Genomic DNA, 15,422 nt, shown 5'->3' with positions numbered 1-15,422 from the left:
GAAAATTCACAGCCAAATTCTACCAGACATATAAAGAAGAACTGGTACCAATACTACTGACATGTTTCCAAAAAAATCAAGGAGGAGGGACTATCTCCTAATTCATCCTATGAATCATTCTGATGAGGCCAGCATCATTCTGATACTAACAAAACCTGGCAGAGACACAAAAAGAAAAGCAAACTTCAAGCTGTTTTCCCTGATGAACATAGGCACAAAAATCCTCAATAAAATAGTAGCCAATCAAATCCAGCTGTACATTAAAAAGCTAATTCACCATGATCAGGTAGGCTTTATTCCTGAGATGCAAGGTTGTTTCAATGTATGCAAATCAATAAATGTGCTTCATCACATAAGCAGAGCTAAAAACAAAAACCACTTGATCTCGATAGATGCACAAAAAGGCTTTCAATAAAATTCAACATCCTTTTATGTTAAAAACCCTCAACAAACTAGCCATTGAAGGAACATACCTCAAAATAATAAGAGCCATCTATGACAAAACCACAGCCAACATCATACTAAATGGGCAAAAGCTGGAAGCATTCCCCCAGAAAACAGGAATAAGACAAGAATGTGCCTTCTCAGCATTCATTCCTATTTATCATACTACTGGAAGTCCTAGCCAGAGCAATCAGGCAAGATAAATAAAAGACATCCAAATAGGAAGAGAGGAAGTAAAACTATCTCTCTTCACAGATGATATGACTCTGTACCTAGGAAACCTCATAGTCTACCCAAAGGCTCCTACAACTGAAAAACAACTTCAGTAAAGCTTCAGGGTACAAAATAAATATAGAAAAATCAGTAGCATTTCTATGCTACTTGGACCAATAATGTCCAAGCTGAGGGCCAAATCAAGAATGCAATCCCATTCATAATAACCACAAAAAGAATAAAATACCTAAAAATGCAGCTAACCAGGAAGGTGAAAGATCTAAACCCTAATGAAACAAATCAGAGATGACACAAACAAATGGAAAAACATTCCATGCTCTAAGATAGGAATAATCAATTTTGTTAAAATGTCCATATTGCCTGAAGCAATTTACAGATTCAATGTTATTCCTATCAAATTACCAACATCATTTTTTTCACAGAATTAAGGAAAACTATTCTAAAATACATATAAAACCAAAGAAGAGCCCAAATAGCCAAAGCAGTCCTAAGCAAAAAGAACAAAGCTGGAGGCATGACACTACCTGTCTCCAAACTATACTACAAGGCTGTAATAACCAAAACAGCATGGTACTGGTACAAAAACAGACACATAGACCAATAGAACAGGTTAGAGAACCCAGAAATAAAGCCACACATTTACAACTATCTGATCTTTGACAAAATGGACAATAGTAAGCAATAGGGGAAAAGACTCCCTAGTCAATAAACGGTACGTGATAACTAGCTAAACATATGCAGATTAAAACTGGATCCCTTCCTTTCACCATATAATAAAATCAACTCATGATAGATTAAAAGCTTAAATGTAAGACCTACAACTATATAAACCCTAGAAGAAAAACTAGAAAATATTTTTGTGGATGTAGGCCTTGGCAAGGATTTCATGGTGAAGTCTCCAAAAGTAATTGCAACATAAACAAAATAGATAAGTGGGGCCTAATTACACTAAAGAACTTCTGCATGCTAAAAGAAGTGATCAACAGAGTAAACACACAACCTACAGAATGGGAGAAAATATTTACAAACCATGCATTCAACAAAGGTCCACTATCCAGAATATATGAAGAAGTTAAATCAACAAGCCAAAACAAATGACTTCATTTAAAAAAGTGTGCAAAGGACATGAATAGACATTTCTCAAAAAAAGACATATACATGGAAAATGCATATGAAATAATTCTCAACATCACTAATCATTAGGGAAATGCAAATCAAAATCACAATAAGATACTATCTCACACTGGTTAGAATGGCTGTGATTAAAAAGTCAGAAAATAACAGGTGTTAGCGAGCTGAGATTGTGGAGAAAAGGGAATGTTTATATATGCTAGTGAGAATGTTAATAATTTTACCCACCGTGGACAGCAGTTCGGAGTTTTCTCAAAGAAATAGAACCACCATTTGACCCACTAATCCAATTCCTGGGTATATACTCCCCAAAATATACATTGTTTTACCAAAAAGACACATGCACTTCTATGTTAATCCTAGCACTATTCATAATAGCAAAGACATGGAATCAGCCTAGCTGCTCATCAACAGTGGACTGGATAAAGAAAATATGCTACGTATACACCATGGAATACTATGCAGCCATAAGAAATGGAATCATGTCCTTTGCAACATGGATGCAGTCAGTATCCTAAGCAAATTAACAAAAGGACAGAAAACCAAATAGTGCATGAATTCCCACTTATAAGTGGGAACTAAACCTTGAGTACACATGAACATAAAGAGAGGAACAATGGATTCCAGGGCCCACTTGAGGGTGGTCCATGGGAGGAGGATGAGGGTCAAAAAACTATGTACAGGGTACCATGCTCACTACCTGGGTGATGAAATCACTTGTACACCAAACCCCAGCGACATGCAATTTACCCATGTAGCAAACCTGAACATGAACTCATTGAACCTAAAATAAAAGTTGAAAAAAATAGAAAATAACTGTAAACCTAGAACTCTATGTCCACAAACCTATCTTTGAAGAATAAGAGCAAAATACATTTTACTCATAAGAGATTTACCACTAACTAACAAATCTACCCTAACAGAAAAATCTAAAATATGTACTTTAGGCAGAAGGAGAATAATTCCACCAAGAAGGTCCAAAATATAAAAAGGAGTAGTAAAACAAATATGGAAAATGTTAACTAAGTCTAAATAAATAGTAAGTATTTTAAAAATAAAATTAATACTATTAATAATTGATTCCTTCTAATACACTTTACCACTGAGCAAGACTGTTTTGCTTTAGTTTGAGCCGCTCCTCTTAAGTGATTGGAAAATATTCCAAAATTGACACCTGAATTTGAAGTTATGACAAGCATATTTTATATTGAATAATAGTCAAAATAATAATGCTTAGGCTAGTGCAGGTATAATCTCCAAATCAAGACATGATTTTATGTTTCAGTATTTTTTTTACCATTACAATTTTTCAGGGACTTGCCTTTTACAGTCTGTGTACGTCTGACTATGGCAGAGGCTACTAGGTTTCTCTTGGTATATATTTTTCCCTCTTTGATAGAGACAGAGTTCCTTATTTTTAACTAGTCACACAGCCACCCAAAATGGAGCCTACATTTTTCAGTCTCCTTGGTAGTTGGCTGTAGCTCTGAAATTTAAGTTCTGGCCAAGGAAATCCATTAAAAGATAATGGGTATGGTATGGTTTGGCTGTGTCCCCACCCAAATCTCATCTTGAATTGTAGCTCCCATAATTCCCACGTGTCATGGGGTGGGAGGTAACTGAATCGTGGAGGCGGGTCTTATGCTCTTCTTGGGATAGTGAATAAGTCTCACAAGATCTAATGGTTTTATGAAGAGGAGTTCCCCTACACGTCCTCTCTCTCGCCTGCCACCATGTAAGATGTCCCTTTGCTTATCCTTCATCTTCCGCCATGATTGTGAGGCCTCTCCAGCTATCTAGAACTGTGGACTTAACTGAGTCCATTAAACCTCTTTCCTTTATAAATTACCCAGTCTCGGATATGTCTTTATTAGCAGCGTGAGAACAGACTAATACAGGGTACAATTTCCAGGATGTGTCTATAAAAGACAGGAGGGTGCCATTGACTGCCCCTCCCACTTCTTCTAAGGTTGGCATGTGGTCCTGAACCATGAGCCACCTTGGACCCTGAGGAGGAGGGACCCCAGAGAAGGCCAAGCAACAAGAAGGGAGAAGCTGGGACCTCAGACATGGCAGAGCACTTTACTATTCTTTAAGCCATTGTGGGTTTTTTTGTTTTTTGTTTTGTGTATATATTTTAACATTTCGTGAAATGTATATCCTAAATAATAAAGTGGTTATAAAAAATACATATGTTAATTTATTGGCACACTGAAACTCATTACTGTAAACACTGTTTAAATCTTTACATTTCACTGAATATAGTGTTAGCTACTTTTTATGCTGTCAATATTTCACTGATTTTGAGATGCTACTGTTTCAGAAGATGATGCCATGATCATGAATGCACTAGAGCAATCTGCAGGGAATGTTTTATGGTGATACTTGCATCTGTGAAGCATTTGTCCTCCAAAAAGAAAGCATGTACTTTAAAGGTTAAATTCTCGTGCCCTGTCCAATGTACAGGTAACTTTAAGTAATAACAAGAAAAATAGAGAATGCTTGTTGGTTTTAGTTTTAATAAAACTGGAATGGAGACTCAGCTAAGACAACTAACATACATAATTACTTCATTTTAACAAAGAGTACTTTGGTACTTTGACCAAAAAAAAAAAAATAGCTGATTGCTTCCTTTGTCTAGACAAAATCACTTCGTATTCTGTAGAGCTAGGCCTAGGAAATGATTAAGTTACACAATATTTAAGCCTAGTTTTCATGCAACCCTAATAATTCTATCACATTTTTCTTTCTTTGGGTAATTCATTTGGGATTACAATATTTGAGCCATACATTAAGCCCAGTGTTTCATATATAAATTATGTACATTCTTACTTTAAGAAACCCGTTTCTGAATAAGCTAAATTTACAATAAGAAAATATTAACCTTTCAGAATTGATTTCCAAGAATCTGAAAATACATATTTTATAACATAACTTGATAAGATTAAATGGTTATATTTCAAATATTATAAAGGTGTATAGAATTAACCATGTGGTTATTATTAACTGTGCTATAGCAGATTTTTATTTGTTAGCTACACTTTGAGTGAAGGATTAGATCTGTTTCGTTAGTTTTTAATATTAAAATGCACTGAATAAATCAACTCATTCCATGAATAAAAATTGTTTAATTTTCTTAAGTAAAACATAATTGCGTAAACATTTTAACAATCAAATACCTTCCGCTTCATTGCTAACATAAACTTGCCTTTGAGATAATGATAAACAATACTTTAAAACATACTATACCAAACATTTGAAGATGAAATTAGAGTTTTCTAATTTGCTCTGCTTTGGAAGAAAGTAGATACAGGTTATATTATTCAATTTGTATGGCGTAATTGTGTAATGATGATTAAATTTCTGTTACAGAATATCCTCAAAAACCTACGGGTAATAATCTTTATATCTTCTACTGTGAGCATAATGGAGGTTGACATTGTGAAGTTTAAGGAAATACGTGAAAGGTGAAAAGTAATTTAAAATAAGGTAAAAATACAATTTATTTTTCCTTTAAAACACTAGGGTTTAATGGGTTAAAAATACCAAAAATACAGTAAAAACAATTACCGATAATACTGCCATCTTGAGATAGTCATCATTAATATCTTGATATATTTCTATTCTGTTATTTACTTTGAACATATAAGCTTATGTATCTACATATCTACATATTTATGAAGATAGTCAATTTTTATTGTATTCATACTATAAGACAGTATTTTCATTTAGTTTTATTGTATTCATACTATAAGAGTATTTTCATTTATTTTAAATATCTTTAAATAACTGTGTGCTATTTTATTTTATAGGATTTTTATAATCATTCTTCATTTTGCAGGCATTCAGGAAGCAAGTACCTTTTCAAATACTATTAGTAGGAAGCAAGTTGAAAATGGTAAGACATAATACATTTATTTACTATTTTACCTCATCTTTTTTCAAAAGTATAGGGCAATAGGCAGGTGATATTTTGACGCTATTGATGAAAATAAACTTAACGCCGGCCGGGCGCAGCGGCTCACGCCTGTAATCCCAGCACTTTGCGGGGCCGAGGCGGGCGGATCACAAGGTCAGGAAATCGAGCCCATCCTGGCTAACACGGTGAAACCCCGTCCCTACTAAAAATAAAAAAATTAGCAAAGCGTGGCGGCGGGCGCCTGTAGTCCCAGCTACTCGGGAGGCTGAGGCAGGAGAATGGCGTGAACCCGGAAGGCGGAGCTTGCAGTGAGCAGAGATCGCACCACTGCACTCCAGCCTGGGCGGCAGAGCGAGACTCCGTCTCAACAACAACAACAAAAACAAACAAACAAAAAGAAAAGTTACGCCACTTGTTCTGCCTCCACTGGAAATCAGACACAGACATAATTCCTAACACCAGTATGTATACAGAACATCTTAACATTTAAATGGTGATGTAATTTAAACTTTGTAGCCTGCTGTAAAGCGGCAAGGGCAGACAGCCATGTAACATATCATTACAACTGAAGAAGTGCAACTAGAGGTAAATATAATGTACCTTGGAAGCATTTATTGCTCCTGACTAAAAACGTGCATGCGCATACTTAAGTACCATTCTCTATACACGTACACGTATTAAGATGTTAGGGATTTCTGAAAAATCCTCTTCACACACCTTTTTTGACTTATTTTTCTCATTTGCATTTCTTATACTTTTCTGGGTAACAGGTAAACAAACACTTGAGGTATTTAATTACTATTTTTTAATTTTTCAGTTTCTACTCTGTCAGAAAGATTGGGAAAAGTATTCTAATATTTAAGTAATTAAAACATCATTGTTCTGTATAAATCAAAGATTGTATGATGCTATTGAAAAAGTCAGACCTGTGCATTTTTTTTGGATTACCTTATAAAATATTTGACTGAATATATTAGGCATACTCATCTGCCTAATAACACCAATGTTAGCTAAGTTTCTAGACTTAAGAAAAAAAACCCACAGAATCTAATTGCCTTTCTGGTCTGACAGGTTTGTGCATTTGAAAGACAAATATTTGTAAATATGATATTCAGATTTAACACTGATGCATATCTTTTTATAGTGGCCAACTAGTAAAAATTTAAAATAGTTCAATAGGTCAATGATTGTCAACACCACCAAATACATGTGTTGTGATAATCTGTTTATACCTTAAAGATTCCTATTGAAATGTATAATTTACAATGCATGCTACTTATAAGTTTTTGAAATGTACAGTGCGCTGGCTTTCTAATTCCTGAGCAATCTATCCTATTTGAGCATTCACAAAATGATTAGTACTGGAATAGAATTGTTCACGATGACCAAAGCTATTCTCAAAATCTCACCATCATTCCTTCCATTCTAAGAAAACATGAAGTTTTAAGGAGCAAGCTGTTCTATTGTGTCAGAAACTATTGCTGTATATGTTTTACATGTGTTTCAAGTAAAAAAAAAAAAAAAAGACAAAACAAAACAAAACAAAAACTTCAGTGCCAACTCCGTCTGCTCATCTTGTTTCACTGAATGGAAATATGTTTTTAAATATTTCTGAATATACCCATAGTACCAAACACCAAATATTTAAAGTGTAAATATTTACTTATTATTGTCTGAAATGCCTTTTACTGTTAAAGTACCTCTGAGTTTACAACAGTCTGCATGTTCAGTTAGTTAGATGTTGGCATCCAGTGTGTCATGCCATGTTTATGGTAAAGGGAAGGAATTTGAGAAGGGATAGGTAAGAAATCTAGCCATATCTATTGGGTAGATAAATTGAGCACCACCTCAGCATGTCACATATGTTAGGGCAATAACAGCGTGTTGGTCCATCAGATTTACAATGCATGACGTCAGGGGATTCTGTGGAGTGGCCTGTCTGTTACTAAATGTTGGACTTAGAAAAGTCTGTCAACTAAAGAGACAGTGATTTCCACTCATCAATTTCACGTTCAATAGCAGAAGCACTCCAAATCCTTGGAGAAAACTGTCAGAAGAAATAAAGATATTTAATGCTAATTGAGATTGGCAATTTAGGCAGGCTACTAGAAGAGAAACCAGGGAAAAATAATAAATCAAAAACCTAATCAATAAACAAAGGCAATATAATTTATCATCAGATTGTTGGGGTTTATATCCTGGCTCCTCAGTTTAGTAACTGTGAGATCAAGAGCTATGATTTAAACTCTTTGCTTCAGTATCTCATTTGTAATATGGAGATAATAGTACCTAGATTCCATAACGTGGTTGTGAGGATTAAATGCGATAACAACTGCAAGTTTCTTAGTTTCACTTCTAATACATATCGGACATTCAATAAATATTAAGTATATATTAGCAGAAATGATTGTGGCAAGGTGATCTCTTCTGTCTTTTCTGTCGGCAATCTCGTATTCTCCCTTACTTCACTAAGGTAGCCTAGCTCTTTTGTATTCCACAGCTTCAGGGAAGGTTGCATTGCTGGACCAAAACTAAAAGCCACTTACAGGACACATATCCTTTTGTGCTATTTGAGGTCTTAAAGCTTCAGGATAAAGGAATTAGGTAACATGCTTATGAGGATAAGTAGAGGAGAAAAGATAAAATTGAAAGATTAAGAGAAAAGACTAATGAGACAACACCAAAGGTAAAGTTTAGAAGAAGAAATTATGGAGGCTGAATAATAAACATCAGAATTCACTGCCTCAGGACAGTACTCCTTTATCACTAGAAAACCATGAAAAGAAACCTTTCTAGATCTGAAGAACCTCTTCAGAGCTGTACAGTAATGTTTATAGCTATGACTGTTATGGTTCATAAGTTGGTGGGTCTTGCTTCTTTCTCCAGGCCATATTTCACTTGGACCTTGAAAGATAATGGGGCCCTAATAATAACTAACTTTGGATTTCCCACCAAGCCTGTGGGATAGAGGCTTAGAATCAGTTTTAATTTGATGATTTAAGATTAAAAAGTGGCTATTTCTTATATATAGTTTATATAATATGTGGATTGGGAACAATGTCATTATTAGCAAAATGCGGTGTGAATAAAGGCTTAGAGATTAAGAATAACATGACAGATCTCGACCTTGATACTGAAACCCACTGTATAGTATTAGAGCTCGATGAATACCTCATGGATCAGGCAGTTTGACTCTGAGAATTAGCAAAAGGTTAAGCCTACAGGCAAAGACACAGTGTCCCATCTTTTGGGAGGAAGAGAAATGCTGGCTGAAGTGACCTTTCTTAATAGATTTTTTAAACATATTCTTTAAATTGCTGTGTTACCTGGCAGAGTGAGAATCCTAGCTCAGTTCTAGGCATTTACCAAAAAAGAATAATATTTGACAAAAACATAAGTTTAATATTAAAAAATAATTTTGTATTTTAGTGACAATATCAAAGTTAGCCCAAATAATAGATTCGCCAGTTTTACTTGGAAGTACCTATCAGGTGTTTTAACATCTATAAGGTAAAATCTGCAGCATTTCCATTTCAGGCAGTTGCTTTAATGGTCTTAGAGAAATAAAACTAAACTAGGTCTTGCATAACACATAGTTTTTTTGTGTTTTGTTTTGTTTGTTTGTTTTGAGGCGGATTCTAGCTCTGTCACCCAGGCTGGAGGACAGTGGCACGATCACTGCTCACTGCAACCGCTGCCTCCCGGGTTCAAGCAATTCTCCTGCCTCAGCCTCCCAAGTAGCTGGGGGGACTACAGGCGCCCGCCACCACACTCGGCTAATTTTTTATATTTTAATAGAGACGTGGTTTCATCGTTTGCCAAGGTTGGTTGCAAACTCCTGAGCTCAGGCAATCTGCCGGCTGCGGCCTCCCAAAGTGTTGGGATTACAGACGTGAGCCACCGTGCCCCGCCAACACATAGTTTTATACTATTAATATTAGTTAATTAATCAGAAGTCTCCAAGAAGACAAAACCATAAACCACAAAAAGACAGGAAAGGAGGTTGAGACTGAAACTGCAGCCTGTCCTACAAGCACTCCCAAGGCGTTGGGCTCTCCTCAGGTCAAATCCATCAGGACTAGGATCAGGTGACTGGACTATGAGCCATTTACAAGATGAAAGTTCTTAGATGATTTAATTAATGCCAGAATCCTAGAAGGTAGATAAATTGGTCTCATTTGTTAGCTCCCTGATTCCTGGGAGGAGAAAATGCACATTTACTCTGAAAGGTCGTTGACTAAGGTCAACTAAATATAAGCCTATTGTCAAAGAGCCCCAAACACACAAGAAAACAAATACCCATGAATAAGAACCAGCAGGAAACAGGTGTTTGTTTAAGGGCCCTGAGGATTACAGATATCAGAATTATCATATATAAAATATGAAATAAACATATGCAAAATGTTTAGGTAAAAATGTAAAATTGTAGAAAGGAACAATTAGCAAAAAAGTATGTAAAAAAATCCAAAAATTTGAAAGAACCAAAATAAACTTTAAGAATGAAAAACATAATTTTTGAAATAATAATCAAAACCTTAATATATGGGTTGAAGTTTAGATTAGACTGAAGAGAGAACCGATGAACTAGAAAATATTATCTGAAGAAATTACTAACAATATGGCACAAGGAAGCAAGGAGATTAAAAAAAGTAAAGGCGAGATTAAGATATTTTGAGAATGGAAGTCCTGAAATATGTCTAATTAGAGTCCTATGAAGACAGAATAAATAAAATGATAGAGAAGAAACATTTCAAGAGATTACCACTATATTTTCTATTACCATTGAAAGATAAGGTAAAAATAACTTATGCTAATAGCATTGTAGTGAAACACAGAGAAGAAAAAATAAATATCTTAAAAGATGCCAGAGGGAAAAGACAAATCTCCTCAAAGAAGTATTAATTTGACTGACAGTTGTTTGCCAACAACAGTAATGGATGAAGGTGTTATAACAATACCTTCAGACTCCTAAGAGAAAATATGTATAAACCTAGTTTGGTGTACTTAACCAAATTAATTTGTATTCATTATTGCTTTAATTTATTGGAGCTCAGTCTCAAAAGCCTGAATGAAACTTTTTCTACATTTTATGGCATATTTTTTACTTTTGATATTATATTTTTATAATTTATATTTTATTTCCTATAGTTAATATATAATTTATAACTTTATTTTTGCCAAGTTCAAATCTCCTCTTTTTGTCCAGTTTTACTTCTTAGCCTGAATCCCTACTTGTATTCTATTTCCTGCCATTATAAGGTTCTAACATATAATATATTTAATTTATTCTATACATTGTATTTATATATAGTTGGGTTAAATGCTGACTAATGGCAGGAAAGTGAATCACCACTAACTTACATACTGTATTATTCTTTTTTTTTTTTTTTTTTGTCTTTTGAGATAGGGTCTAGCAGCTCTGTAGCCCAGGCTGGAGTGCAGTGGTGCAAAGGAATATATTGGAAAGAAATTTGGCACAATCTCATAAGATTAATCATGCATATACCAAATGACCCAGCAATTCTATTTCAATATGTACCAACTCCTTGCCCCTAAACAACTCTAATACCTGGCCATCAGGAGAAAAAAAAATCTATAATGTCACTACCAAGAATAAAAAATTGAGAGCTAAATGATGAGAACTCATGAACACAAAAAAGGGAACTACAGGCACGGGGGCCTACTTAAGGGTGGAGAGTGGGAGGAGGGAGAGAAGTAGGACAAATAACTAATGAACGCCAGGCTTAGTACCTGGGAGACAAAATAATCTGTACAACAAACCTCCATGACATGAGTTTACCTGTATAACGAACCTGCACATGTCCCCTGGAACCTAAGATAAAAGTTAAAGAAAGAATACAACATCAGAATCAATTAAAAGCCCCATTTTCAGGAGAATACTATATAAGCAGTGAAAAATGAATGAACAACTACATATACCAAATGTGGATGAAACGTAGAAATAATTGGGAGTGGATAAAGCAAGTCAAAGATAACAGTGTACACCATAATACCGTTTTAGAGAACTCAGAAACAAAGTTAGAAGTATATGTTACCTGGAGTTACATATTTTATGTGATAAGAATAATAACATGGCAAGTGGGTGATAAATTAAAATTCCAGAAAGTGGTTAATTGGTTGAGAGTAGGAAGAAGAGCAGATAGGAAGACACAGATAGAAATTTAGGTGTCAGGAATGCTCTAGATCTTAATTTGGGTGGTTAGTTCAGGGAGGATATTTATTTTATTATTAAGCTTTATAAGTTACTAATGTGATATATGTAATGTATATAAATACACATAATGTTTATGATGTGTCAAACACTACCCAATAACATTGTTAAGAACTGAATGAAAAAGTCAATTTACAATTTTTTGAGAATTTTATTTATAGACTCAGGCCTTACATTACATTTATTTTATTATGTAAAGGCTCCATGGGCATTTTGTCTTCATTCAAAAAGATTTAATTTTCTATTGATCGACCTCATTATGTTACCGTCTCAGGCTGTACATTATTTGTGAACGGGTAAGTATTGAAACATTGGTGTTTAGAAAACGGTTTATTCTGCTTCTCTCAGCTTAATTGACTCTTGATTGTATGTGCTGCAATGTATTGCCTAGAAATGCAGATAGTTGTAAACGCTTTCAGGTTATTTTATGTATTTTTGGGCAGGATATTTTTCTCACATAGATAATTGAAGTCTTATTTTATATCACTAAACTTGATGAATACTGATTCAGCAGATCATTGTCTGAGAATACAAACAATATTTAGGATGTCGGGATTATGATTTAGCCTGTCCAAGTGGCACAGTGGAATCTAATTACATTACATGCTTTGTGCTTAACTCTACTTAAATCATCCAGGAGAGAGTAAAGTCGTGAGACGTATACAAAATGTACCTCGCCATTACTTTCTAACTTCAATTGCACGAAGTTTTTCTGAACATAAGAGAATAAAACAAAGTGCTCTGTCTCCAGGACTTTGGAAAGGAACGGGTTCAGAATAAGTAACAGTTATGCAAGCTAAAGGTACCAATAATAGATGTACTAAAAAGAGGAAATGTCATCCAAGAGGGGAGAGCAATTCTAACTTTTTGGGGGGCTGGTGAGACAGTGAATGGAGGAACATGAGAGCTGAGGTAGATTTGAAGTTGGTGTACAGTATCATTTGGGGGGAAAGCGAGGATAATAGCCTTTGAGGGCCAGGATATGGCTTAAGCAAAGGGCCAGAGAGTGTTGTAGACTCAGAAGTGATGAGGAGACTGCCGTTCTCAGCAAACAATAAAGCAAGGAGAGCACTTGTTTCAGTTAAAGCCTTCTACATTGTTTCATTGCCTGTTTCCTCATCTCCACCCTCTCTCTCCTCCTTAACCTATGATTCTGCTCTTTTAAATGTACTTTTAGTCATTTCACTCCCTAGCTTAAAAACATTCACTGACATTCCCTTACCTATGGTGACATTTGTTCTGGGGCTTGAACTCAAGGACCTCCTCAACATGATCATAATAGTTCTTGTGAATCATCATTCCTACTAATCTTCTGCTATAAAACTCTTTCATGAAAAAAATCAACCCATCCATTATCTTCCATCTTTGGTTTGTATGCTGGTCTGCACTTGATTGTACATGTCCACCTCGACCAGCACTGCATCACAACCTTTGCCATCTGTTTCAGGATTCCTATCAAGCCCTCCTTCCCCTAAAACTTTCCCCAAATCCCTGAGGAACAATTTATTCTTCAAAATTCTCTACAGTACTGAAAGTACAACACTAAACTGTTAACAATTTGAATAACAGAAATCAAAGAATTATGGACAGGGAAAAATAACAAATAAAAATCAAAGAGAAATCTTCATGACTGAAGAAAATACATTATCAGATAAAAAGTATCCAGGAGTTTCTGAGGAAAACGTATAAAAAAGTAATCGTTCCAGTAGACATCATTCAGAAGTTTCTGAACTGCATTGATGAAAAGAATATGCAAAGCTTTCTAGAGATACAAGTTACCGACAAATGTGTAAGAAATATCAGAAACCATGAATACTTGAAGGCTGTAGAAGAAGGCTTTCAAATTCTAAGATAAAATAATTTTGAACCTAGGCTTCTATAACCAGAAAATTCACAACCAACTGCGGAATGTAAACAAATAAATCATTCTCAGACATGCAAAACCAGAGAATCTTACATCTCTGGAATATCTTATTGGCATCTTATGAAAATAGGATTTGGCAAGCCAAAGAATTAAACTAAGGGAGAAGAAGTCATGGAACCTAGAGAACAGTCTTTAGGCTAGAATTTCAGTGTAGGGAAACCTCTGTGGAACACCTGTATAGCACATCTAGAAGGTAAACCATCCCACAGGAGGATTCTGGAGGGGGAAAACTTGACAAGAGATAGGTAGTGGAAGAAAATAAAACCAAGAGACTCTTAAATACGCACGCGTGCACACACACACACACATACACATCACACAACAATAAAGGCGGTCCTATTAGGAATTAATTGCTGCCGTATACAGCAAAAAAAAATGTGGCATAAAACAATTTATGAACTGTAAGAAAACACGTTATTTTTCCTTCATGCAGAAAACTTCAATTTTCAAGTGCTCCAGAGACTGAGATTTTGGACCCAATGGAGAAGGAGCATAATACCAACACACTATTAGTGAAGAATGGAATCTTAGTAATAATGTAAATGCTCCTTTTAAAAAAAAAATACAGATGTTAGAGTCAACCAATGCTAAAGCAATGATGACTCAACTGCAGAAAGGAATGTGGGTGTAAATACCTTGATTATATAAATGGAATAGTGCAGCTGACAGTAATTAGGAGATAAAAAGCAGGGAGGAAAGGTGCAAGAAAGGGTAAGGGAGCTTGTAGCCCTTTTTTACAATGTGACACATCAAGATATGATACTAGGCCAGGCGCGGTGGCTCATGCCTGTAATCCCAGCACTTTGGGAGGCCGAGGCAAGCAGATCACCTGAGGTCAGGAGTTCAAAACCAGCCTGACCAACATGGAGAAACCCTGTCTCTACTAAAAATACTAATTTAGCCTGGCGTGGTGGCACATGCCTGTAATCCCAGCTACTAGGGAGGCTGAGGCAGGAGAATCGCTTGAACCCAGGAGGCAGAGGTTGCAGTAAACTGAGATCACACCATTGCACTCCAGCCTGGGCAACAAGAGCAAAACTCCGTCTCAAAAAACAAAAAACCAAAAAAAAAAAAAAAAGAAAAGAAAAAATATAATATTAAATGTTGAGAAAAACATAGTTGTTTCATTACATGACTAAAAAATACAAAATTTAAAAATGAACATTTAAAATAATAAGTAGCAAGTATTTGAAGAAAGACAGCTGGAAGAAGGGAAAGTAAAAGGAAAAAAAAAGTCCTCATCTTTCCTATGGGAATATTAATGCATTTGTTTAAAGTTGGAATATTGTCTAAAGTTGACATATTAAGAAATAGAGGAATAAGCAGATTATCTTGAAATATGAAGATGAATACCAGAAGAAATTAAAACAGAAACATTTAAGAGTCCTCTGAGGAATAGGACTTTGGTATCAGATATAATTCCTTCTTATCCTAAGTTTTTATTATTTGATATACTACTATATTAATGAATATTTATAAAACTACAGATTTTACAGCAGTATTATGTGATTTAAATATGCAGTTTTTGATTTAAAACA

At 35.1% G+C, this 15,422-nt stretch overlaps 1 protein-coding gene across 1 annotated transcript in view; it reads left to right on the top strand.

Annotated features, from left to right (window-relative positions):
* Positions 1 to 15,422, top strand: part of AGMO (alkylglycerol monooxygenase) — a 444,793-nt gene that overhangs the window by 411,074 nt on the left and 18,297 nt on the right. Inside the window, exons 14-16 of the transcript XR_001744759.1 lie at positions 4,118 to 4,275; positions 5,182 to 5,298; positions 5,651 to 5,707. The gene's annotated coding sequence lies outside the window, so the exon portion shown is untranslated. The remainder of the gene's footprint in view (positions 1 to 4,117; positions 4,276 to 5,181; positions 5,299 to 5,650; positions 5,708 to 15,422) is intronic.

Source organism: Homo sapiens, chromosome 7, assembly GCF_000001405.40.
Source record: "Homo sapiens chromosome 7, GRCh38.p14 Primary Assembly".
NCBI classification, from domain to species: domain Eukaryota; kingdom Metazoa; phylum Chordata; class Mammalia; order Primates; family Hominidae; genus Homo; species Homo sapiens.
The sequence above is the reverse complement of the archived record's forward strand: the minus strand, read 5'-3'. Positions and strand labels throughout refer to the sequence as shown.